Source organism: Homo sapiens, chromosome 20 (genome assembly GCF_000001405.40).
Source record: "Homo sapiens chromosome 20, GRCh38.p14 Primary Assembly".
Lineage (NCBI taxonomy): Eukaryota > Metazoa > Chordata > Mammalia > Primates > Hominidae > Homo > Homo sapiens.
In genome coordinates, this window is record NC_000020.11 from 2726050 (window position 1) to 2748978 (window position 22929).

General features: G+C 45.9%; 1 protein-coding gene across 8 annotated transcripts in view, besides 2 other annotated features; it reads left to right on the forward strand.

Annotated features, from left to right (window-relative positions):
* Nucleotides 1-22929, forward strand: part of EBF4 (EBF family member 4) — a 67329-nt gene that overhangs the window by 33270 nt on the left and 11130 nt on the right. For all 8 annotated transcript variants that reach the window (NR_138537.2, NM_001395167.1, NM_001395168.1 and 5 more), the window contains one exon: nucleotides 22500-22581. Coding sequence is in view for 7 of the 8 variants with exons in the window: in NM_001395167.1 (NP_001382096.1) it covers nucleotides 22500-22581 (82 nt within the window). In the remaining variant the exon portion in view is untranslated. The remainder of the gene's footprint in view (nucleotides 1-22499; nucleotides 22582-22929) is intronic.
* Nucleotides 12513-13094: an enhancer, noted in NCBI's record as "VISTA enhancer hs632". NCBI's record gives its function as "enhancer in: neural tube[5/9] | hindbrain (rhombencephalon)[5/9] | midbrain (mesencephalon)[5/9] | forebrain[5/9]" and the evidence as "EXISTENCE:transgenic organism evidence [ECO:0001131][PMID:17130149]".
* Nucleotides 17247-17296: a silencer, noted in NCBI's record as "silent region_12605". NCBI's record gives its function as "represses an Ori minimal core promoter by ATAC-STARR-seq in GM12878 lymphoblastoid cells {active_cell/tissue: GM12878}" and the evidence as "EXISTENCE:reporter gene assay evidence [ECO:0000049][PMID:35858748]".

The window sequence follows — 22929 nt, forward strand, 5'->3', positions numbered from 1 at the left end:
AGAAAATAAGGCTCTACATGTATTTTTTTTTCTTATGGCTTCCAGTTGCCCCAAGAGCATTTATTTAATAATCCATCTTTCTTCCATCAATTGGAAATATCAATCACATCATATTCCAAGTTCCCAAATGTAATTGTATGTTTTTCTGGACTTTTCATTCAATTTTATTATTCCATCTGTTTTTCATGGGGAAATATGATGCTGTGGCCAGGCAAAGTGGCTCATGCCTGTAATCCCAGCACTTTGGGAGGGCAAGGCAGGAGGTGAGGTGTAGTACCAGCTACCTGAGAGGCTGAGGCAGGAGAATCCTGACTTGAAGTCAGGAGTTTGAGAACAGCCAGGGCAACATGGTGAGACCATGTCTCTACAAAAATGTTTTTTAATTAGCCAGGGGTGATGGTGTACTCCTGTAGCCTCAGCTTCTCAAGAGGCTGAGTTGGAGGATCACTCGAACCCAGGAGTTCAAGGTTACCGTGAGCTATGATTGTACCACTACACTCTAGCCTAGGTGAGAAAGAAAGACCCTGTCTCAAAAAAAAAAAGAAATATGATGCTGTTTCAATTTTTGAAGATTTAAACGTGTTTTAATAACTGGTAGATCTAGTCCTTTTCCCCCATTACTCTTATATTTTAGAATTTTCCCAAATATTCTTGATTATTTGTTACACAAACTTTACAATTAGATTATCTAGATCACCAAAACATAACTTCTTGGTGTCATTTTTTTAGGTTGTGGTAAAAAACACATAACGTAAAATTTTCCATCTTCACATTCATGAGAGTATGGTTCGGTAGTGTTATATTCAAATTGTTGTGCAACAGATCTCCAGAACTTTTTCATCTTGCAAACCCGAAACTCTATATTTATTAAGCAGCTCCCCATCTCCCTCTCCCCCCAGCCCGTAGTAGCTGCCATCCTACCCTCTGTTTCTATGAATTTGACTACTTTAGACTCCTCACATAAGTGGACTCACATAGCATTTATCTTTTTGCGACTGGCTTATTTTACTTGGCATACTGTCCTCAAGGTTCATTCATGTAACATGTGACAGGATTGCCTTCCTTTTTAAGGCTTAATAATATTCCATTATATGTATATACCACCTTTTATTATATATTATATGTTTATAACATGTATATATATTTTATTATATACATACATCGCATTGTATGTATATACTACATTTATCCATCAATGAACCCTTCAGTTGCTTCTATCTCTTGGCTATGAACATGGGTGTGCAGATATCTCTCTGAGATCTTACTCCTTTCCATTTTTTTGGATATACAGTCATCCCTCAGTATATGCAGGGATTGGCCAGGTTCCCCATCCTGCCCACACATGTACCAAAAGCTGTGAATACTCAAGTGCCACAGTTGTCCCTGCAGAAATGCATATATGAAAAGTCATCCCTCTGATAAGCAGGTTTTGCATCCTTTGAATACTGTATTTTTTAATCTGCATTTGGTTAAAATAAATCCACATATAAGTGTACCCAGACAGTTCAAACCTGTGTTTTTCAAGGGTCAGCTGTATACCTAGAAGTGGAATTGCTGAATCAATGGTAGTTCTATTTCTAATTTTTTGAAGAACCACCATACTGTTTTCTATTTAAAAGGTCGCACCATTTAAAAATCCCACCAACAAAGTTTCCAGTTTCCCCACATCCTTGCCAACACTTATCATCTTTTTTATAGTAGTCATCCTAATGGGTGTGAGGTAATATTTGATTATAATTTTGATTTGCATTTCTCTAATGATGTTGAACATCTTTTCATATGCTTCTTGACCATTTGTACATGCTCTTTGGAGAAATGTTCATTGAGATCCGTTGCCTATTTTTAAATTGGATTATTTGGGGGTTTTCTGAGTGTTGAGTGTTAGGAGTTCCTTCTATATTCTAGATAGTAACCCCTCCTCAGATATATGACTTGCAAATATTTTATCCCATTCTACAGGTTGCCTTTTCACCCTATTAATTGTGTCACTTTTATTGAAATCATGTTTAACTCAGATTAACCTGGAGGAAATGGAATATTTATGATACCAAGTCTTTAAAGTGCTTTGAAAATGTAATTCATTTATTGTATAAGTTGCACTAAGAAGGGTGCAAACAAAAGCAGCTTTACCATTTCTAACAACTGCCCTATAAACCTGCTCGGTGAGATCATTTCTCTCCATCCCTGGATGAAATAATGGACTATTCCTTCATCTTTTTTCCACCACTCTCATGAAATAAAAATCCTCTGATCACTTAGGTAAGAAAATGTCCAGAGGAGTGTAACAAACTCCAGAGATTGTCTGATTCTAAAGCATCTCGTCATCCTGGCTTGGTCCTGCCTTGGGTTTAGTGGTGAGGATGGGTTTGGTAAAAGGGTCTTCTCCCTTTCTTCATTCACCTTCACCCCTACTTATTACCTGTAGTCTAGAGTCACCTCCATGGTTGAGGTGGCTGAAGGGAAAAGAGGTTCGGGGGCGGGGGGTTGAAGGGACAAGGTGTTCCTAGGTGACACAGTGGCAATCTGTCATTTGTGCCTCTGGAAATGGTGAATAACCCTGGCTTTCTTTCTGAGCTTTTGTAGATCTCTCAAATCCCCCATCCAGGACCCTCTGATGGCCTTTTGTGATCCCCTCAGCTTCTAGACCTGATTCTTTATCCACAGCAGGATTCCTAACCTGAGGTCTACAAGAATACCTGTGGGTCCATAGGTAGAGTTCTGGGAACTTAGATGGGAAAATTCCATTTTTTTTTTACACAGTTTCCAGTCCTGGAAACCTTTAGCTAATCTTTAGCATTCCTTCAATGGTGGGAATGGGCAACAGATCACCATAGTATTAATACTCTGTGTAATTTTATCACTAGAATGGTTAATTTCCATATCATAGTAGAGCTGTTGCAGATATTTTGAAATCCCATTATACTCACTGCCACTTCAAGATTACTGTAGTTGTTAGAACAGCTACTAGATCTTATTACTTAATAAATTAATAAAGTGTGAATATAACTATATAACCATTTTAAAATGTTTTTTGATAACTTTCAATATAATTGGTTTATTTTATAATTCTATGAATTTATTTTGTACATATGAAAACAATATGCTGAGAATGGGTTCAATGGGTCCATGGCACCAAAAAAAAAAGGTTAAGAACTCCTGACTGAAAGCCTTCGCCGACTCCTATTGAGCGCATTTTCGCAACAGTTCACAGCCAGCCACGCTCAAAGAACCCAAATCTGGCTGATGAAAAACAGGCATGGTCCTTGCCCTAATCAGCTCTGAAACAGCATCCGGTTCTTAAAGCCACCCCCACCAATGTCTGGCCCCGCTTAGCTACTCAGGATGAGCTTGCCTTTCCCCAGCCTCTTGCTGATAAACTTCACAAGTATGAATTTAGTATGGATCTCTCTGCTCTTTGAATTCTAGTGGATGCTTGTCAACTTCTGCAAGCAGTCCTTTTGAAGCTCCCCTACTAGGCCGAAGTGAGACAGACACACCCCACACTTCCTCCCCATTGAGATGGGGGGAGCTACAGCATCTTGAGAGCTCCACCTACCACAGTTCCTATTTTTCACCCTAGAGAGAGATGATGAGCTCAAGGACAGTCTATGACCGGGTAGCATAGGTGGTCCAGCAGCTACATTGTCGTTCTTAACTTTGAGACCTCAGCTGAAACCAAGACAAAAAGAGTCCGTTTTCACATCCTATTACACAAAGAGTAGTAAGTAGAGGTTGTTACTATCTATAGAGATTGTTACCCTCTAGAAGCAGAACCTGAGGTGGGGATTCAATTTCCTCCCTCACAGGGAGTGAAGGAAGCAGGAGGAGGCAGGCAGCAGAGCTGAGTAAGGATGTGCATTGAACTGGAGTCCAACCTCCAGCCTCAGAGCCACTGGAAGCTCTGGAATGTGGATCCCACTCTGTGGCAAGGACACAGTCTTTGGCAGCTCTTTGAGAGCAAGTCAGTCAGAGGCTGCCGGCCAGCCCTATGGTGAGGGAATAACCACCCCTGGCATTTCCAGGTGCCCTGTGGCTGAGGGCACTTTGCAGCTGGGGGATGAATGCACTTGCTTAGTGTATTAGTTTCCTAAGGCTGTCCTAACAAATTACTGCAAGCTTGGTGGTTTAAAACAGATGTTAATTATCTCCCCATTCTGGAGGCCAAGTCTAAAAGCAAGGTGTTGGCAGGTCCGTGCTCCCTCCAAAGGCCCTAGGGGTGAATCTTCCCTTGCCTCTCTTAGCTTCTGGATTCTGTTGGCAGTCCCTGTGGCGGCATCACTCCAATCCCTGCCTTCATCTTCACAGTGCCTCTTCCTCTTCTGTCTAATCTCCCTCTATCCTATTGTTATAAGGACTTCATCACTAAATTTAGGGCCCACTCAGATAATCCAAATTGATTTCATCTCCAGATCCTGCAAAGACCCTTTTTCCAAATAAAGTCAGTTTCACAGGTTCTGGGATGTAGACATAACTTTTGGGGGGGCCACCATTCAACTCACTACCCCCAGTAAAGGGGGTTGGGGTGAGGCAACAATGACGTCCCCTATACAAGTAATCCTTAAGCCACCATATCACTCAAAACAAGCTCTGTGGACTCTGCTGTCCCCTTAACTGCTGGAGAGACTCATGAGCACACATACATGAAGCACTGTTCCCTTTAGGCATGCGAAGCTGGCCTGTCCACCCTCTGCAAAAACAGGACGCGCAGGGCCCTGTCGGCTGTGCAGCAGCTCTGCTGGTAGAAAGCATTCGCTTTCTTCTCCACCAGACTTCTTATATACCATCCTATCAGTCAGTGCTCCAATCATAAAGCCCATCTCATTTCCCTCCTACCAGCCTTGCTGGGTTTTTTGTTTGTTTGTTTGTTTTAGATGGAGTCTCGCTCCATCACCAGGCTGGAGTGCAGTGGCGCAATCTCGGCTCACTGCAACCTCCACCTCCAGGGTTCAAGCAATTCTCCTGCCTCAGCCTCCCGAGTAGCTGGGATTACAGGTATGTGCCACCATGCTTAGCTAATTTGTGTATTTTTAGTAGAGACGGGGTTTCACCATGTTGGTCAGGCTGGTCTCAATCTCGTGACCTCGTGATCCGCCCGCCTCAGCCTCCCAAAGCGCTGGGATTACAGGCATGAGCCACTGTGCCCAGCCCAGCTTTGCTGTTTGATGACACTGTAAGTTAGCATAATGTGCTGTGACAAAGAATCCCCAAATGTGGTGGCTTAAATATTTGTTTAGTTCTCTCAAAACAGTCCAGGGCATCAGTCCAGGGTGGCTCTTCTCCATAAAGTCATCCAGGACCAAGCAGTCTTTTCCTCAGCTCTCCCCTAAGGTGACACCCTCATCTGTATAGCCCAAACAGGCTCAGAGATACCAAAAGGGGATAGAAGAAATAGGGCATGCAGCTTACTTATAAAGACATAACCTAAAGGTCCCACCTTACCTCTGCTCATGCCATTAGCCACACCCTGCTGCAAGGGAGGCTGGGAAAGATAGCGTCTAAATGGGCATCCCTCAACCTAGGTAAGACTCAGAGGGTTCTATCATGAAAAGAAAGGAAGGAAGCTAGATAACGGGGACAGCCAGCATTCTCTGCTGCGGACATCTGTCTGGCCACTTCTACTGTCCTTCTTCCTACGAACAAACCAAGTTTTTCTCTGTCCGTGGGTACCAGATGCCTCTCTCTCTTAAGCAAACCCCTGTAATCTATGGTATTCCTTTTAGAACAGGGAACTGGCACAGAATCCAGGCCTCCATCTGCCTGTGACTTGATGGGCCTTGTGCTTCTGGGATGTGAACGTGAATTCTTAGGAATAGAGCTAAAGCCAGGAGTACCTCACCTTTCACTTGCCACTTCACATTGTGTGTGCAGAGCTTCAACACACAGAATGTGAGTTTCTTTATCAGTTGCATGCTAGGTTGGGCCCCAGTCAAACTTAATAGTTCTATGCATTCTTGCTAGTAGGGTATTGAAGTTGCCAGTTATTATTGTTTGTTCCTTCAATTCTGTTAGTTTTTGCTTCATGCATTTTGGAGCTGTTATTAGATACATGTGCTTTTTTTTTTTTTCTTTTGAGACAGGGTCTCACTCCAGTTGACCAGGCTAGAGTGCAGTGATGCAGTCTCAACTCACTACAGCCTTAGGGCTCACTACAGCCTCAACCTCCCAAGCTCAGCTGATTCTGCCACCTCAGCCCCCTGAGTAGCTGGGACTACAGGTGCATGCCACCACACCCAGTTAATTTTTTGTATTTTTAGTTGAGACGGGGTTTCACCATGTTGCCTGGGCTGGTCTTGAGCTCCTGGATTCAAGCAATCTGCCTGCCTCAGCCTCCCAACATGCGGGGGTTATGGGCATGAGCCACCACACCCGGACTGTTATTAGATACACATGCTTATAATTGTTATTTCTTTCTGATGATAGACACTTTTATCATTATAACATGTCCTTCTTTGTCTCTCATAATTTTTATCTTAGTGTCTATTCATAAATTAGTATAGCCACTCCAGCTATCTTTCAGTTAGGGTTCACATGTTATCTCTTTTTCCATCCCTTTATTTTCAAAGCCTTTTGTACATTTGAATTTAAAGTATGTCTCACATAGACAGCATATAGTTGGATTGTGTTGTAGTTTTCTTTTTTAATCCATTCTGCCAATCTCTTCCTTTTAATGAAGCATTTCATCCATTTATATTTAATGTAATTGCTGATAGAACAGGATTTATGTCTGCCATTGTGCTTTGTGTTTTCTTTTTCTTTTATTTTTTCTTTTTCTTATTTTTTTTTGAGACGGAATTATAAAGAGTTCCCATATATCCCCTATCCCCACAAATGTGCAGTTGTCTTTTAAATTAGATAGGAAAACAAAATCATTACAAACAAAAATACATTTATGCTGTCTTTTATGTTTACCTATGTAGTGACTTTTACCAGTGCTCTTTATCTGTTCATGTTAATTCATATTACTGTCTTGTCTTGTTTCATTTCAGACTGAAGGACTCCCTTTAGTATTTCTTGTAGGACAAACCTGTTAGTGATGAATCCTCTCAGTTTTTGTTTATCTGAAAATGTCTCAATTTCTCCTTCATTTTTGAAGTTGATCATTTTAGAAGTTGATAGTTTTGCTGGACATGCAATTTTTTGGTCGATAGTTGTTTTCTTTTAACACAATATATCATCTCACTGCCTTCTGTCCTTCATGGTTTCAGAAGTTATGTGGTGATCTTATTAAGGATTCCTTATATATGACGAGTTACTTCTCTCTCTCTCTCATTGCTTCTCAGATCCTTTCTTTTTCTTTGGCTTTCAAAAGTTTGAGTATGATGTGTCTTTGTATAGATCATACACTTTGTGTTCATACTACTTGGAGTTTACTGAGCTTCTTAAGATGTGCTCAATAATGTTTTTCATTACTGAGCACATTTAGGAAATTTAGGGGCATTTTCTTGAATATTTTTCTGTCCTGTTCCATCTCTACTCTCCTTCTCAGATTCCCATTATACATATACTGGTATGCTTGATGGCTCCCACAGGTCTCTTAAGCTCTGTTCATTTTTCTTCATTCTTTTTTCTTTCTGCTTCTGAGCTAGATAATCTCAATTGGCCTATATTCAAGTATACTGATTTTTTTTCGTCCCACCAAATGAGATATGTTGTTGAGTTCCTCTAGGTCAGGGGTGTCCAATCTTTTGGCTTCCGTGGGCCATATTGGAAGAAGACTTGTCTTGAGCCACACATAAAATACATTAATACTAGCGATAGCTGATGAGAAAAAAAAAAAAAAAGCAAAAACATCTCATAATAAGAAAGTTTACAAATTTGCAGGCTAATTCAAAGCCAACCTGGGCTGCATGTGCCCCGTGGGTCGCAGGTTAGAGAAGCTTGTTCCAGGTATTTTTAAATTTTACTTATTGTTCTTTTCTACTTCAGAATTTCATGGGTTTTTAAAAATATAATTTGAAATCCTTTATTGATTTTTTTGGTGTGACTTCATTCTCATACTTTTCTTGAATTTTTTAGACATAGTTTCCTTTAGTTCTATGAACATATTTATAATTGCTCATTTAAAGTCTTTATCTATGCCAGCTGCAGTGGCTCACTCCTATAATCCCAGCATTTTGGTAGGCAGAGAAGGGCAGATTGCTTGAGCCTAGGAGTTTGAGACCAGCCTGGGCAACATGGTGAAACCCTGTCTCTACAAAAACCTACAAAAATTAGCTGGGCATGGTGGCTCATACCTGTAGTCCCAGCTACTTGGGAACTAAGGTGGGAGGATCACTTGAACCTGGGAGGTCAAGGCTTCAGTGAGCCATGATCACACCACTGCACTTCAGCCTGGGCAACAGAGCAAGACCCTGTTCCAAAAATAAATTAATTAATAAAGTATTTGTCTAAAAATTCTAACCTCTGGGCTTCCTCAGGGATAGTTCCTGTTGGCTGCTTTATTACAATGTATGGGTCTTACTTTCCTGTACCTTGCATGTCTCATAATTGTTTGTTGAAAACTGGACATTTTAATCATATAATGTTGCACTCTGGCAATCAGATCCTCCCTCCCAATTTTGTTCTTATTGCTATTGCTGTTTGTTTGTTTAGTGATTTTCTTGGACTAATTATATAAAGTCTATATTTCCTGTCATGTATAATCACTGAAGTTTCTGCTCTTGGCTTAGTTATCAGGCCATGATTGGACAGGCATTTCTTTAAATGCCTTGAATGCCAATAAGTGTTCAACCCATTGCCAAAAGGTTCTGTATGTGTGTTAAGACATGCCTTCAGTGCTCCAGCGATTTACAACTCTGCCTTGACCTTCACTTCCTGCTTGCTCAGGGCCTTGGGATAAACCAGAGGTGAGAGACCAGGGGCTTTCCATGCCTTTTTTGGGCATGTGCCTCTCCCTGCACATATGCATAGCTTTCTAGATCTCCAGGAATATGTCAGAGCTTTTCAGAGCCCCTGTGAACATCTTATTCCCCACTTTTTCCTTTAAAATATTATGGCCAAACTTTTATTTGCCCCCAACTTGTATTGCTGCCTCATGTAGCTGCAATGTTAAGCAATTGCCGCTGGCTGTTTTCAACAAACACCCTGAAGATAGGGTCTTTCCCACTAAGTAAGTTCTGAATCGGGTCAAATAACAAGTTCTGCAAATAAAGCTGTCAGGGAGTTGCTAGAAAGGTTAAAGAGTGAAAACTGACTGGGAATACAGCTTGTTGAGAGGCTCCAAACCCACTCTACCCCTTCCTATGGTTGCTAGCTTGCTAGTTTTCACAACTACAATAGTGGTTGCAAGGTAGCTGGTCTTCAACAGGGCTGGGGAGTAGGGGATGGGAATAGGGCAAATTAAAACACCACAAAGCTTTCTGTTCTTATTACAACTCAGCCATTTTTCTTGCCTCAATGTTCCTTGAGTTGTTGCACACATGTTGTTAATTTTTAGAGTTCTGAGAAAGTTGATTTTGACCATGTTTGCCAGTGTTCTTGTTTCTTTATGGAAGAATGGATTTTCAGAGGTCTTTACTTAGCAATTCCCAAAGTCCTGTCCCTGTAATTGTTATTTCTTACCTGGGCACAAGTTAAAAGTGCCTTGGGGGCTTTAGTCCAGCATTCATCCAGTCACAGTAATTTTTGACTCTTGAATTCTATCATGAATCAATCAGCACCTGTTGTGGGGCTGGGACTATGATGGATGCTTGGGAGAAGAGAGGCTTAAACAATGATCCCTGCCCTCTGAGAGCTTACAGAGCAGTTGAGGAGACAAATATAATTATGTAAACAACAATTTATAATTTTGAAAAAAATTCGTGTACTTGAAGAAAGGTCAGTAGAGATTATCTATAATTACATAATAATAAGAAGAAATAGAAAACAATGTAAGGCTTGAAGACCACACTATCCAATAGTACTTTCTGCAATGATGAAAATATTCTGTACCAACCAATATGGTAGCCAATAGCCACACATATTTATTGGGCACTTGAACTGTAGCTACCGTGACTGAGGAATTGAATATTTAATTGTGTTTAATTTAAATCAAATTTAAGAAATAACACATGGTTACTGTATCTGACATCACAGCTCTAAGACTTTAAATATTTGCTTGATTGGCCAGGATGACCCTGTGGCAGGGGTAGGGAAACATACCCTCCCATGGGAGGCTCATAGCTCTTCTCTGGCTCCTAGGGATAGATAGAAGCTGGGGGCTATGGATACTCCCTGGCATTTAATTGTGCCTGCTGCCTGGTGGGTGTTGTTCAGTGACACTATTGGAATAGTTTAGGTCCGAGCCACCTGGCAAAGGTAAGCTCTGGTCTACTCTATTGGGGGCAAATTTAGACCCTAGATCAGGCACATTATAAGTGCAATTAGATGAAAGGGGCTGTGGGAACTGCAAAAGAATCAGCCCCCTTCCTAATCCACTGGTCAATGCAACATTCCCTGTTTTCCTCTACAGCCACAAAACTAGCCCAATGTCATCCATCTCCTTCCACGCTTTCCAGCAGGATCTCCCACACTCATGCTGCAAGCACAGACTTCTGTCCAGATCCATTCTGGCAATCCCCCTTGAGGTTCCAGAACCTCCCTGCTGGGTCAGTGCTGAGGTGAGACTAAGGTTTCCCTCTTGCCACCTGAATGCACTGCACTTCCTTCCCCATTCCCCCCAACCCCCACCACTCTTTTCAGAGCTGAGAGCATTTGAGAGAGGGAGAAGCAGAGGGGGTTCAAGAGAGATTCGCTCATGTGCTCCGAAGGTCATATAGGCTGAGATGCCAGTCATAAGGACAAAGGACCCCTAATGAAGAGGAAGGACTTATGAGGAGACCTCTGGGCAGCCGAAGCCAAGCTTAGGGCCAGACTGGCCTCCATGCTGAGACAGGAGCAGAGATTTGGACAGTGCCTCCATAGAAAATTGGGGGAAGAGGACCGGGCGCGGTGGCTCACGCTTGTAATCCCAGCACTTTGGGAGGCCAAGGTGGGCAGATCACAAGGTCAGGAGATGGAGACCATCCTGGCTAACACGGTGAAACCCCGTCTCTACTAAAAATACCAAAAAATTAGCCGGGCGTGGTGGCGGGCGCCTGTAGTCCCAGCTACTCGGGAGGCTGAGGCAGGAGAATGGCGTGAACCCGGGAGGCGGAGCTTGCAGTGAGCCGAGATCGCGCCACTGCACTCCAGCTTGGGTAACAGGAGCGAAACTCCGTCTCAAAAAAAAAAAAAAAGAAAAGAAAAGAAGATTGGGGGAAGAGGGGGACCGCAGGCATGAGGCAGCCTGGGAACCATAATAGGTGGAGTGGAGGCGGCTAGTGAGTGAACCGCCTGCAACTTGAATAATAAGCTTTCTCCACAAAGTGGAGAGTTATTGAGGGCTGGGGACTCAAGCCAACCTGGGATGTCTGGCTATGTAACTGGGAGCAAGTTCTCACCTCCCAGAGCTTCAGTTCCCTAATGTGTAAAATAGAGCTGACCAATGAGCCTCCTGTGATTCTGGGAAGGAGAGGATGCTGTGGAGTTAGTAGGATGTATTCATGCAGTGCCCAGCACAGTGACTGCCTCAGAGTCATTTCTTACCCTCCTGCCACCCCACCCTTACCGATCATCTTAGAGTAAGTGCAGCTGAGCCTGGACGGCAGCAAGAAAGTTCAGGCCGGGCGCAGTGGCTCACACCTGTAATCCCAGCACTTTGGGAGGCCGAGGTGGGCGGATCACTTAAGGTCGGGACTTTGAGACCAGCCTGGCCAACATGGTGAAACCCCGTCTCTACTAAAAATGTGAAAAAAAAAAAAAAAATGGCACCTGTAGTCCCAGCTACTCAGGAGGCTGAGGCAGGAGAATCACTTGAACCCAGGAGGCAGAGGTTGCAGTGAGCCGAGATCGCGCCATTGCACTCCAGCCTGGGCAACAGAGCGAGACTCCATTTCAAAAAAAAAAAAAAAAGTTCAGTGGGAACCAAGGAGGAACGTCCTGCCTCCAGAACCAGAGCCCACAGTCAGGGGTAGACATCCCAGGCTGGGGATGGGTCTTTCTCTGAATAGGAAGGGGGACATTCTCACTTAATCTTCTGTCTGTTCTCTCTGCCCTGGGTGCTTGGTGAATTGTAGAAGATGCCAGGCCTTGCTAATACCCGCTACCCACCTCTCACCTGATTCATAGATAAGAGGTGCCAAGGTCTCTGGTCTTAGAGCCTGGGTCTCATCTACACCACCACCTCTGCCCAAGGCCAGAGGAACCCACAACTTCTTTCCTTCAGACTCCCACCTTCTCCTTTAAATCTCTTTCTGACTTGCAAGCACCCCTTCCAGCTCTGTGGCTTCTGCTGCCGTCCATGCCCCATCCCCCCTCCTCCCTCCTTTTTCTCTATCTCTCCTTCTCTTCTGTTCGTGGACTCTGATAGCCTGCATTGACAGAAGACTCCCCAGGCTTGAGAGGACTTGTGTGGGTGCATGTGTACATCTGTGTCCACACAGGCACACCATGGTGACCATGCACCAGCCCCTTCCTGCCGCTGCATGTGGCATGCCCAGAGGCCTCCCATTAGTGGCCACTCCACCCTTCCTCCTCTCCCCTCAGGCCTGGTTTGGGGAAAGTGGAGCCACTGCCACTCTTGGTGGGCAGCTGGGGGCCCCTTAGCAGTCTCTCCACACCCCCTCCCCTTCTCCTCAGGCCCCATGCCCAGCCCTGAGGTTTGGAGAGCCTAGTAAGTGCCCTATCAACATGTTAATCAAATTACTTAGGAGCTAAAATTGACGCTGTTCATTAATTATACAAGATTATGCTAATTGTGCATGCAAATGCATGCAGGGGAACAGAAGGTGTTCAGGCGCATGGTGGGCCATTAGCATAGAGGATGGGGTGCGGGTGCATTGGCATGCTAATGTATGCGCCCTGGCTATTTATAGTCCTCCAGCCCATCTGCACTGCAGCCACCTCTACCCGGGTGGGGATCATGGTGGGGAGGCCAGGTCCAGGCCTGGCAGGTGGCTGTGGCCCTGGGGACAGTCTATCTTGGCTTCTACCGCAGGCTAAGACCAGGAAGCAGCCTGGGCCAACCCCACATGGGCCTGAACTATTACAGTAAGCTCCTCATTTCCCTTCCCTTCTCTAGCGTAGGCCCTTTGGTGCCTGTTTCTGCCTGAAGGGAGACATCCCCTGTAGCCTTCCCATCACCCAGAGGATCCAAGTCCCGCATGATTTGGTCCCAACCCCAGGCCCCAAGCCACGCTGCCCTCCTCAGTCTTGTCAGGCACCACTGATCGAGTGAGCCGTCTGCCCCGTGGTGGAGCTGTTAGTCCCTTTGCATGGAGGGCCCTGCCTCCTACTTCTCGGTGAGATCCTCCAAGACCCATCACCCAAGACCAAATTGGAGCTCTAGGAAGCATTCCGCCTCCCCTAGGCAAAATAAGTGGCCACTGCAGATTACACTTGGCACATCCTCCTGCCGTGCCCACCACTCTGTCTTCCTGAGTTTCTCTTTCCTGTTGGGTTGTAATTTCCTTAAGATTTTATACAATGCCGCAGTGCCTAACACATAGAAGGTATTTAATAAATCTTTTTAAGTGGGTGTATGGAATGAATGAGGGGATGAATGGCCCAGCCCTCTGTGTCCTCCTCTGTCCCTGAGCTGAGGGTAGAGAGAAGCAGACAGTGAACACGCTGGAGAGCCAGAAACTGCTTCAGTTTCTTCGGAGGCTCATGGGAGCCCAAGACAAATCTTTTAGGATAAAAATTAGCGGAGATCCCTGTCCCCTTATTTCCCCATCTCAGGCTGCAGTGCCAGCTTTGGGCTTGGAAACACATATCCAATTTAATCTACCCTTCACTCTTAACCTGCTGTCTTTCCCAAGGCCTTCACAGGACACACTGTTGTTTGGAACATCCTGCCCCAGCTCGTATATCCATTCACTGCATACCTTCTTTCTAGATCTGCACTGTCCAATATGGTAGTCTCGAGCCACATGTGACTATTTAGATTTATGTTCATTAAAATGGCTGGGCGCAGTGGCCCACGCCTGTAATTCCAGCACTTTGGGAGGCCAAGGCGGGTGGATCACCAGAGGTCAGGAGTTCATGACCAGCCTGACCAATATGGTGAAACGCTGTCTCTACTAAAAATACAAAAATTAGCTGGGCATGGTGGCAGTCGCCTTTAGTCCCAGCTACTCAGGAGGCTGAGGCGGGAGAATCGCTTGAACCCAGGAGGTGGAGGTTGCAGTGAGCCGAGATCACGCCACTGCACTCCAGCCTGGGCAACAGAGCGAGACTCCGTTTCAAAAAAAAAATAGATTTATGTTAATTAAAATGAAATAAAATTCAGTTCCTCAGTTGCACTAGCCACATTTCCAGTGCTTAGTAGCCATGCGTGGCTAATGCATATCATTCTGGAAAAAGTTCCCTTAGGGAGCACTGTAATCTAGACACGTTCTTCCTTGCCCCTGACAGACCTGTAGTGGAAAATGCACTCGGGCTCTCCTTCCAGCTCTTTGAGTTACTGACAGCTTTCTCTTTGGAAGTGAGAACATAATTTCAGCCCTAAGTATCTCATGGGGATGCAGGGAAGAAAAAGCTGGTGAAAAGCCTTAGCTCTGTGACCTAAGTTTTCTTAGGGTGGGATTCCTGGAAGCAGAGCCTGAGATGGGGATTCTTGTGAAAGAGGTTTATCAAAGGAGAGCTCTCAGGAGAAAAGGAATGAGTATAGAGGGAGTTTAACAAGGAGGTGGTCTCGGTCGGAGTCTAGCGTCAGCCTATCCCATGCAGAGGTCTGGAGTGTGAATGGCCAGAGAGTTGGTCCTCCTTGTAATGTCAATCTGTCATTGGCTGTGGGCTACTGGTGGGGAGTATATGCTCTTGGCTGAGGGTAATTCTCAGATTACCTTGGGGCAGCTGCGAGCCATTTGACAGTCTACACTGCAGCTGGGGCATGAGGGAATCAGGCAGGCATCAACTCACTGTAAAGTTCCTGGACGTTGTCTTCCAAAAGAAGCTCCAGGCCAGGCATGGTGGCTCATGCCTGTAATCTCAGCATTTTGGGAGGCTGAATCAGAAGGATCGCCTGAGCCCAGGAGTTTGAGACCAGCCTGGGCAACGTACTGAGACCTCCGTCTCTACAAAAAATAAACAAAATTAGCTGAGCATGGTAGTGTGACCTGTAGTCCCACCTGCTCAGGAGGCTGAGGTGAGAGGATCACTTAAGCCTGGGAGGTCAAGGCTGCAGTGAGCCAAGATCACACCACTGCACTCCAGTCTGGGTGACAGAGCGAGACCCTGACTGAAAAAAAAAAGCAGCTCCATCCCACTCTGCCTTCTACCCCCTGAAAACCTAGAATTTAACAGTGGACTCACATCAATTGCCTTCACACTTGCCTTCTCTACTGAGTGTCTCTTTTGAGTAAAGCACTGTGCTTGGGGAGTTAATGCAATGGTGTCACCCCTGAGAAGTAGTGTATAAGTTAAATGTTTGCACTTTAGCCATACTCAACCCAGAGTTTGCTTCTTTGGTAGGAAATACTCCATGGACAAGACGTTTCTTTTCATTTCATCTTGAGCTGTTTTTATGGGGAGGAATAAAAAGCGTTTATAGACATGATTACGAAGGCTAAACCAAGTTCAGGATGTGGTAAGGTGGGTGTGTGGGTGAACTACTCTGAGCTTTCCTTTAAGTCACAGGCATCAGAGTCATGATGCATAACTACCATCCTTTAGATACTTCATTAGTTGGATGACCACTGTTCACAGCTCTTCTTCTGGTCTTTCATTAAAGTTTTTATTGAGAATGTGGAATACAGGCAGAATGGAATAATGAAGCCCATATAGCCCCAATGAGCTAGAACAATTTTTAACTATTGGTTCCATTGTTTTTTAATACTGAAGATCTTCTCGACTGATAGCAGCAGTCACAACAGCCAAAAGCCCAAAACTAGGAGCAAGAGGACCTGAGTTTGACCTCTGCAACCCTGTTGAATTTGTAACCTCGAGGAAATCCCCACAACATACTATCCTGGTCCCCACACAGCCTGCCTCTCAGAGCTGCTTTTGAAGGCAGGCTTGCCGCTGCAGTACCAGCCTGGGTCGGACTCTGAGAGCCCCACTTAGAAGGACTTCTAGGACTCTTGTCGGCATCAGTGGTTCATAAAGACCCGTTTTCATATCCTTACTTTAGCATTGACTGTGACTTTGTCAAGTCACAGTCAATAGCTTAGCCTTGGTTTTCTCATCCGTAAAGTGGGAATGGTTGCAGACCGACACGACCTGGGGGATTGAGCAAGATAATGCCAAAGTGACAAACTCAGCAGCGTTCTGGGCAGTTGCTAAGGTGCTGAGTGCCTGATGGGTTAGACCTGGTTCCCTGTTTTTCTTTTTTTGTTGTTTGTTTGTTTGTTTTGTTTTTGCATAGTTACCTCCCTAATGCATTTCATTTGTAAGTCATGCTTGTATTTATGGTGTTTTCTTCCAGTAATCCTAATGGAAGCTTCTGCGACTTGGCCTTTCCCTTACTCCCTTTTCTGTGGGGTCTGGATTAGGAAGCCATGCCCTCCAAGAGCCTCATGGCCACAGTGGGATGGCACTGGGCACTGGTCCTGCAGTGGTCACCCTCCATGGGGATCCTCAGGTCAGAGAGGGCTGTGGACTTGGGCTCACTTTACTCCTCCCCACTCCCTGCCCCCTGCCCCCATCCTGGTCAGGAAAAACGGGCTTTCCTAGACTCCTTTTCAGCCCCATAGGGCCAGGAGTGGGGAGGGGTGCTCAGAGAACACCCCCAGGCTCATCCAAGCTTTAGAGGTGGGGGGTGGTTCCATGCTGACAAGCAGGGCTTCAAGCCCCTCAACAAAGTGCACATCCCTTCCTGCCTCAAGTCCCTACAGGGTGTCCCAGGCCCAGAACCTTGTCCTCACTTACCCAGCCCCTTCCCAGGCTCTCTTCTTTCAAGGGGAACACCTGCCCGCAGTTCCCATGTCCACATGTGTTCCATGTGTGTGTCTCCCTCCAACTCCCCTGCCCACCAGGTCTCTCACTCTCCCCCAGTCCCCAGCCCCCACATCTGGCCTCTGTGCAGACATGGCTTGGAGGACCTGCTGCCCCTCCTTCTTCTTCCCTGACTCCATTCTCATCCTTCCCTGACTGCTCAGGTGGAATAAAGTGTCACCCCCTGGGCGTCAGCCAAGGGAGAATTCTCCTGGGTTGTTCTCACGTTCGCCCTTCCAGCCTCTGCGGTGTGTCTGTCTCCCCCTGGTGGGCAAGGAGAGGACCAGGCAGCGGCACCCGGAGGGTCGGCAGTCTCTCTAGGTCCAGGGGAGAGCCCGGGCACTGCTCCTGGTTCTAGACCCCAACGGAAGTCCTCTAATTCCAGGTCCAGCCTTGGAAGGCAGGAGCCTTTAGGGGCGGGTCACCTTTGCCAAAGCACAGTCTTCAAAATGTCAAAAGCGTGATTCTCATACAAATTGCTACTGAGCATGTATCAAAGTTTTCTATAACTTATTGATGAGGGAACCAATGGGATGACAAAGCTGATTCAAAGAAGACGAAGAGAAAGTGATACATGTGCGAGTGTGTGAGTGCGTGCGTATATGGAAAGGGGTTGAGGGGAGGGAGGGAGAGGCAAGGGATTGTGTGGAAAATACTGGAATAAGATGGCCAAATTAGATATAAAGCTAGTTAATGTCCATAGGACAATTTTATCATCTTTAGGGCTAATTTCTCCACCAAACAGAAATTATTTACTTCTCCTGACAAATATCATTTGTTTCCAAGTCATATGAATTTGGGGGCGGGGAGTATAAATTCACAGGGTACAAGTGAAAGTATACAATGTGTGGTGATCCAATCCAGATATTTAGGGTGTCCATCACACAGGTACAATACATTTTGGCTAAGTATAGTCACCCCACTCTGCTATCAAACATCAAGTTTATTCCTTCTATCTTGCTATTTGTACCCTATAACCCACTTCTCTTCTCCCTGCCCCCCAACTCACCCTTCCCAGTCTTTATTATCTGTCTTTCCATGCTCTACCTCCAGGTCATCAAAGTTTTTATTTATTTTTTTTATTTTTTTTTTTTTGAGACGAAGTCTCACTCTTGTCCCCCAGGCTGGAGTGCAATGGCGTGATCTCAGCTCACTGCAACCTCCGCCTCCCGGGTTCAAGTGATTCTCCTGCCTCAGCCTCCCGAGTAGCTGGGATTACAGGCGCCTGCCACCACGCCCGGCTAATTTTTATATCAGGTCATCAAAATTTTTAGCTCCCACTGACAAATATCATTTGTATCTTATCAGTTTTCTACAAATTAGCACTTAACTTTATAGTCTGTGCTCCAATCAATCAATAGTAAATGCGAGTCACTTTCCCCTAGAGACATACACTCCAGTGAAGCATTGTCCGATATTAATATAATGCAAGCAAGCCACATATGTATGTAAATATGCTTTTTTCTTTTCTTTTTTCTTTTTTTCTTTTCTTTTTTTTTTTTTTTTTGAGACAGGGTCTCACTCTGTCACCCAGGCTGGAGTGTAGTGGCTCAACCTTGGCTCACTGCAACCTCCACCTCCCCCGTTCAAGCAATTCTCGTGCCTCAGCCACCTGAGTAGCTGGGACTACAGGCATGCACCACCTCACCCAGCTAATTTCTATATTTTTAATAGAGATGGAGTTTCGCAGCATTGGGCAGGCTAGTCTCAAACTCCTGGCCTCAAGCGATCCACCCACCTCAGCCTCCCAAAATGCTGGGATTACAGGCACGAGCCACTGAGCAAGGCCTCAAGTCACATATGTAATGTTAAATTTTCCAGTAGCCACAAGAAACTGATACAACTAATTATCATAATGCATTTTATTTAACCCAATATATCTAAAAGATGAGCATTCCCACATGAAATCAACATAAAAGATTACTGATGAATTATTTTATATTCTTTTTTTCTAAGTCTTGGAAATCTGATGTGTGTTTTACACTTACAGCACATCTCAAGTTCGGACTAGCCACACTGCAAGGGTTCATGCCGCGTGGGGCTGGTGGCTATAGTAATGGGTAGCGCAGCTCCAGTGCGGTAGTTCTCAAACTTCAGGGTGAACCAGCATCACCTGGAGGGCGTATGAATGCAGAGATGTGATTCTGACTCAGCAGGTCTGAGGGGAGGCCTGAGATTCTACACTTGTAGCAAGGTCTCAGGTGACGCTGACGCTGCTGGTCTTAGGGGGTGGTGCAGGCTCTCTGACTGGGAGAAGCCTCGTGGACTACCAGCTGGAAGGGAGTGAGGTTTCAGCCACACCATGGATGGTTTCGACTATGTGCTAGCTCTGAGGACAGGCCCAAAGGGAAGGGAGAAGGGGACTGACCCTCAGCCCCCACTGCAGGCCATGGTCTTGTGCAGCTGCTTTTACTCACCCACACTCTGCAGGTAATGCTAGCCAGGCTCAAACACTGAGGTGTCCCCATAGACAGAGGTGCTGGCAGGTCCCTAGGGCTCTCAGAAAGGGGTGGTCCTTGAAACCTAGAGTGGCCAGAAAATGGTGGCTGTACAGGGCGTGAGAATTGGTGTGGACCCAAAGGACAAATGAAACCTGTACTGTAAAGGGACAGTGGCAAGACCTGCTGAGCAAAGGCTTGGGGAAGGGCCAGTGAGGGAGCAGGAAACCACAGCCTTGGGGAGGGCAGAAGTAAAGGATGTCCCAGAGGCAGGACTAGAAGGTGTCACGGCAGCCGTCAATCGCTACTCTCCCTTCATGGGTGTGGAAGGATTTACCTACCCCGGGTCATGCAGAGAGTCCAGGCCTGGCCAGAGCCCCTATCTTGGCCCCTTCCCAAGGACCCTTCCTCTTGATCCTGTAGGTTTGAGTGGAGTGGGGTGCAGTGGGCACATGTGTCATCTTTTGGTGCAGTCCTATGCTTGTCGCATCTTCAGTGGTATCCAAAGGTGAGCCTTCAATCCCTTTAGGACAGAGACCATGCCCCATCCTGGTGTTTTTCCCTCCATCTAGCACCTGCCAAAGGACCGAGCACACGAGTACTTAATTTAAATGAGCTGGTCTGCCTGTGTGTGTGAGTAGGGAGTCTATACTCTGTCACATGTGAATGTGGGGCATGGATGAGGAACATGTCGCACATGTGGGTGTAGTGTGTTTACACCATGGGGTGTCATAAGGGGTGTAGGGAGTGATTAGTAACTAATAAGAGAGAAATGGAGTGCGCCCACTGTGCAGGTGTACCTCTCAGGAGCACTGAAGGTGTCTGCACCTTGGGGTGACCCATAGGGATATATATGGCATCTACACATTGGTGACTACTGTTTGGGGGCATAACAGCTGTCTGCACTGCAGGGTATCCTGCAGGGGTAAATGGATTGTCTACACTGTAGGGGTGCACCATTTGGGAAATATAGGGGGTGCCCACTGTGGGGGAACATGACAAGTGCTGAGAATGTAGACAGAGGCAGGACCCCAGGGAGAGGTATCTCTAGGAAGGTGACTGCCACCAGCTCCCAAGGAGGGGCTGCCTGCTGGGGACACCTCAGTTCCAGGGCTGGTGCTTACTCCTCCCAGCACTTGGTGACCTCCTTTTTGGGGACTGGGCTTTCAGGACCTGTAACAAATTTTCCTCTGAACAGAAATTTAATGTTTGCAGACTTTGGAGGCAACTCTGGTGAATTAAATGAACATTCAAATTTGGGGTATATAAGTAGTACATGAGTAACTATACCGTGGTTAAAGTTCCACCCCAGGTTTGGGACTCTTGTATTTGCTTTAGTAAATAGTATGGTAAAAATATCTCCCAATTGGGTGGAGGTAAAATGAGGAAGCTGACTGACTGGAGAAACTCATACAGTGGCCCAGGAGGCTGTTCCACATATCAGGACCTACTGCAGACGTTAGCCCTGCACTCTACAGTTTGTAAAGGGTATCTTCCCAGATGCTCACAGAGTGCTATAAGGCATAAGGCAGACACTGATCATATTCCGAGTTTACCAAGAGTTAAACAGGGCTGGGTGCAGTGGCTCATGCCTGTAATCCCAACACTTTGGGAGGCCGAGGTGGGTGAATCACCTGAGGTCAGGAATCGAGACCAGCCTGGCCAACATGGCAAAACACCGTCTCTACTAAAACTACAAAAAGTAGCCAGGCGTGGTGGCAGGCCCCTGTGATCCCCCTGTAATCCCCTGTAACTCGGGAAGCCAAGGGCTGAGGCAGGGACAATTGCTTGAACCCAGGAGGTGGAGGTTGCAGTGAGACATGGCGAGCCTGGGCAACAGAGCAAGACTCTGTCTCAAAACAAAAAACAAAACAAACAAAAAAAAAAAAACAGGAAAAAAAAGAGTACAACAGCCAGAATGTTGTCCATGGCTACCTTACTGGTAGGTGACAGGACCAAGGACCCACCCTCCCAGCCAACTGCCAGGAAGGAGAGGAGGACAAAGTGCTCATGTGTTTGTCTAAAAAGCAACCTCATCAGCGCATATGTGTTTTTTTCCCAATAACTCTATGTAAAAAAGAAGACATTCACGGTGTCTCTGTACCACATGTCTGACAGATACACCATGTGTATATGGTGGGTATGTGCTCTGTATGATTAAGCTTTTCCTATGTGTATAATGGATATAAAATGTGTGGGAGGAGGATATGCCATGTGGGAGGTGAATTTGCTGGGGGCATCTGCTATATGGGATGGCTTTACAGTATTTGCAATAACTATATTTTGGGTAATCATTTACAACATAAAATGCGTATTAATGTATTTGTTCTGTGTATTTCCTATTTCTCTGTGCATATACTGTGTAGGGTGGGCATACACCGTGCATGATGGGTACAGGCTCTGTGTCTGCTTAGTATGCCATATGTGTGGGATGAGTGCAGGCTATATGTGGAGTACATGTTGTTTATGCTTGTGTGAAGGTTATACCCCGAGTGTGTGTGATGGCTGTATTTTGTGAGTAATAGTATCCAAGGCATAAACAGTGTCTACAAAGAATGTGCTGTGTCTGAGGAGTGTACATGGTGTGGGTGATGGGTATACTCTGGGGAGGGATGTGTTGTATAACAGATGTGCTATATGGGTGATGAGCATATACTGTGACGTATACACAGTGTGTGATAACATTACATGGGGTATGTGTGCGTACACGCCACATACGGAGCATATATTGTATGTGTGATGGGTATACAGTGCGTTGGGTATAATGAGTAATAAGTATAGGTAGTGTATATAATGGACTTACTCTTCATGGTGAATATATACTGTGTGGGAGTGCTAAGTATACACTTTGTGGCATAAATAAGCCCTGTGTGATCAGCACACGGTGTGTATGGTTGTATAGCGAAGTTGTCATTGTGATGGGTCTGTCTGGTGTGTATCAGGCACCCTGGTATATGGAGGCCATGATGGGAATATGGGATGTGTGCCTGAGTGGGAGCAGGCAGAGGGGACTCATCCTGTGGGGAGGGGGCATGGCAGGGAGCAGTTGGATCTTCATCTGTTTCCAGAACCCCCAGACCCTTGAGCCCACCGACCACACTGTTTCAGGTTCTTCCTCAAGTTCTTCCTCAAATGCAACCAGAACTGCCTGAAGAATGCGGGGAATCCCAGAGACATGCGCCGCTTCCAGGTGGGTCTGGAGAGAGGGTTTCCCCTTGCAACCCCACCCTTTCCTGATGGAGGGGAGGGGAGGGGGAAGGGAAGGCTGTGACCCTGCCACCCTGGGAAAGGCCTCCAAGGCAGATCTCTGCCCAGCCCTGTGCCTCCCCAGCCTGGTTGGTGCCTGCTGGGGGTGGGGCAGCTCCTTCTCAACTTGTGCTGGCTGCCAAGGGAGGCTTCATTAGAGTCCCACTTAAGAAGATGCTAATTGTGACATTTTTACATGATTAACGACCCAGGCAATTTGCATAGCGTGAAGCGGAGAGCAGCTGCCCTTAGCACATCCCCAAGCTGCACACCCCTCTCAGTGCAGGGCGGG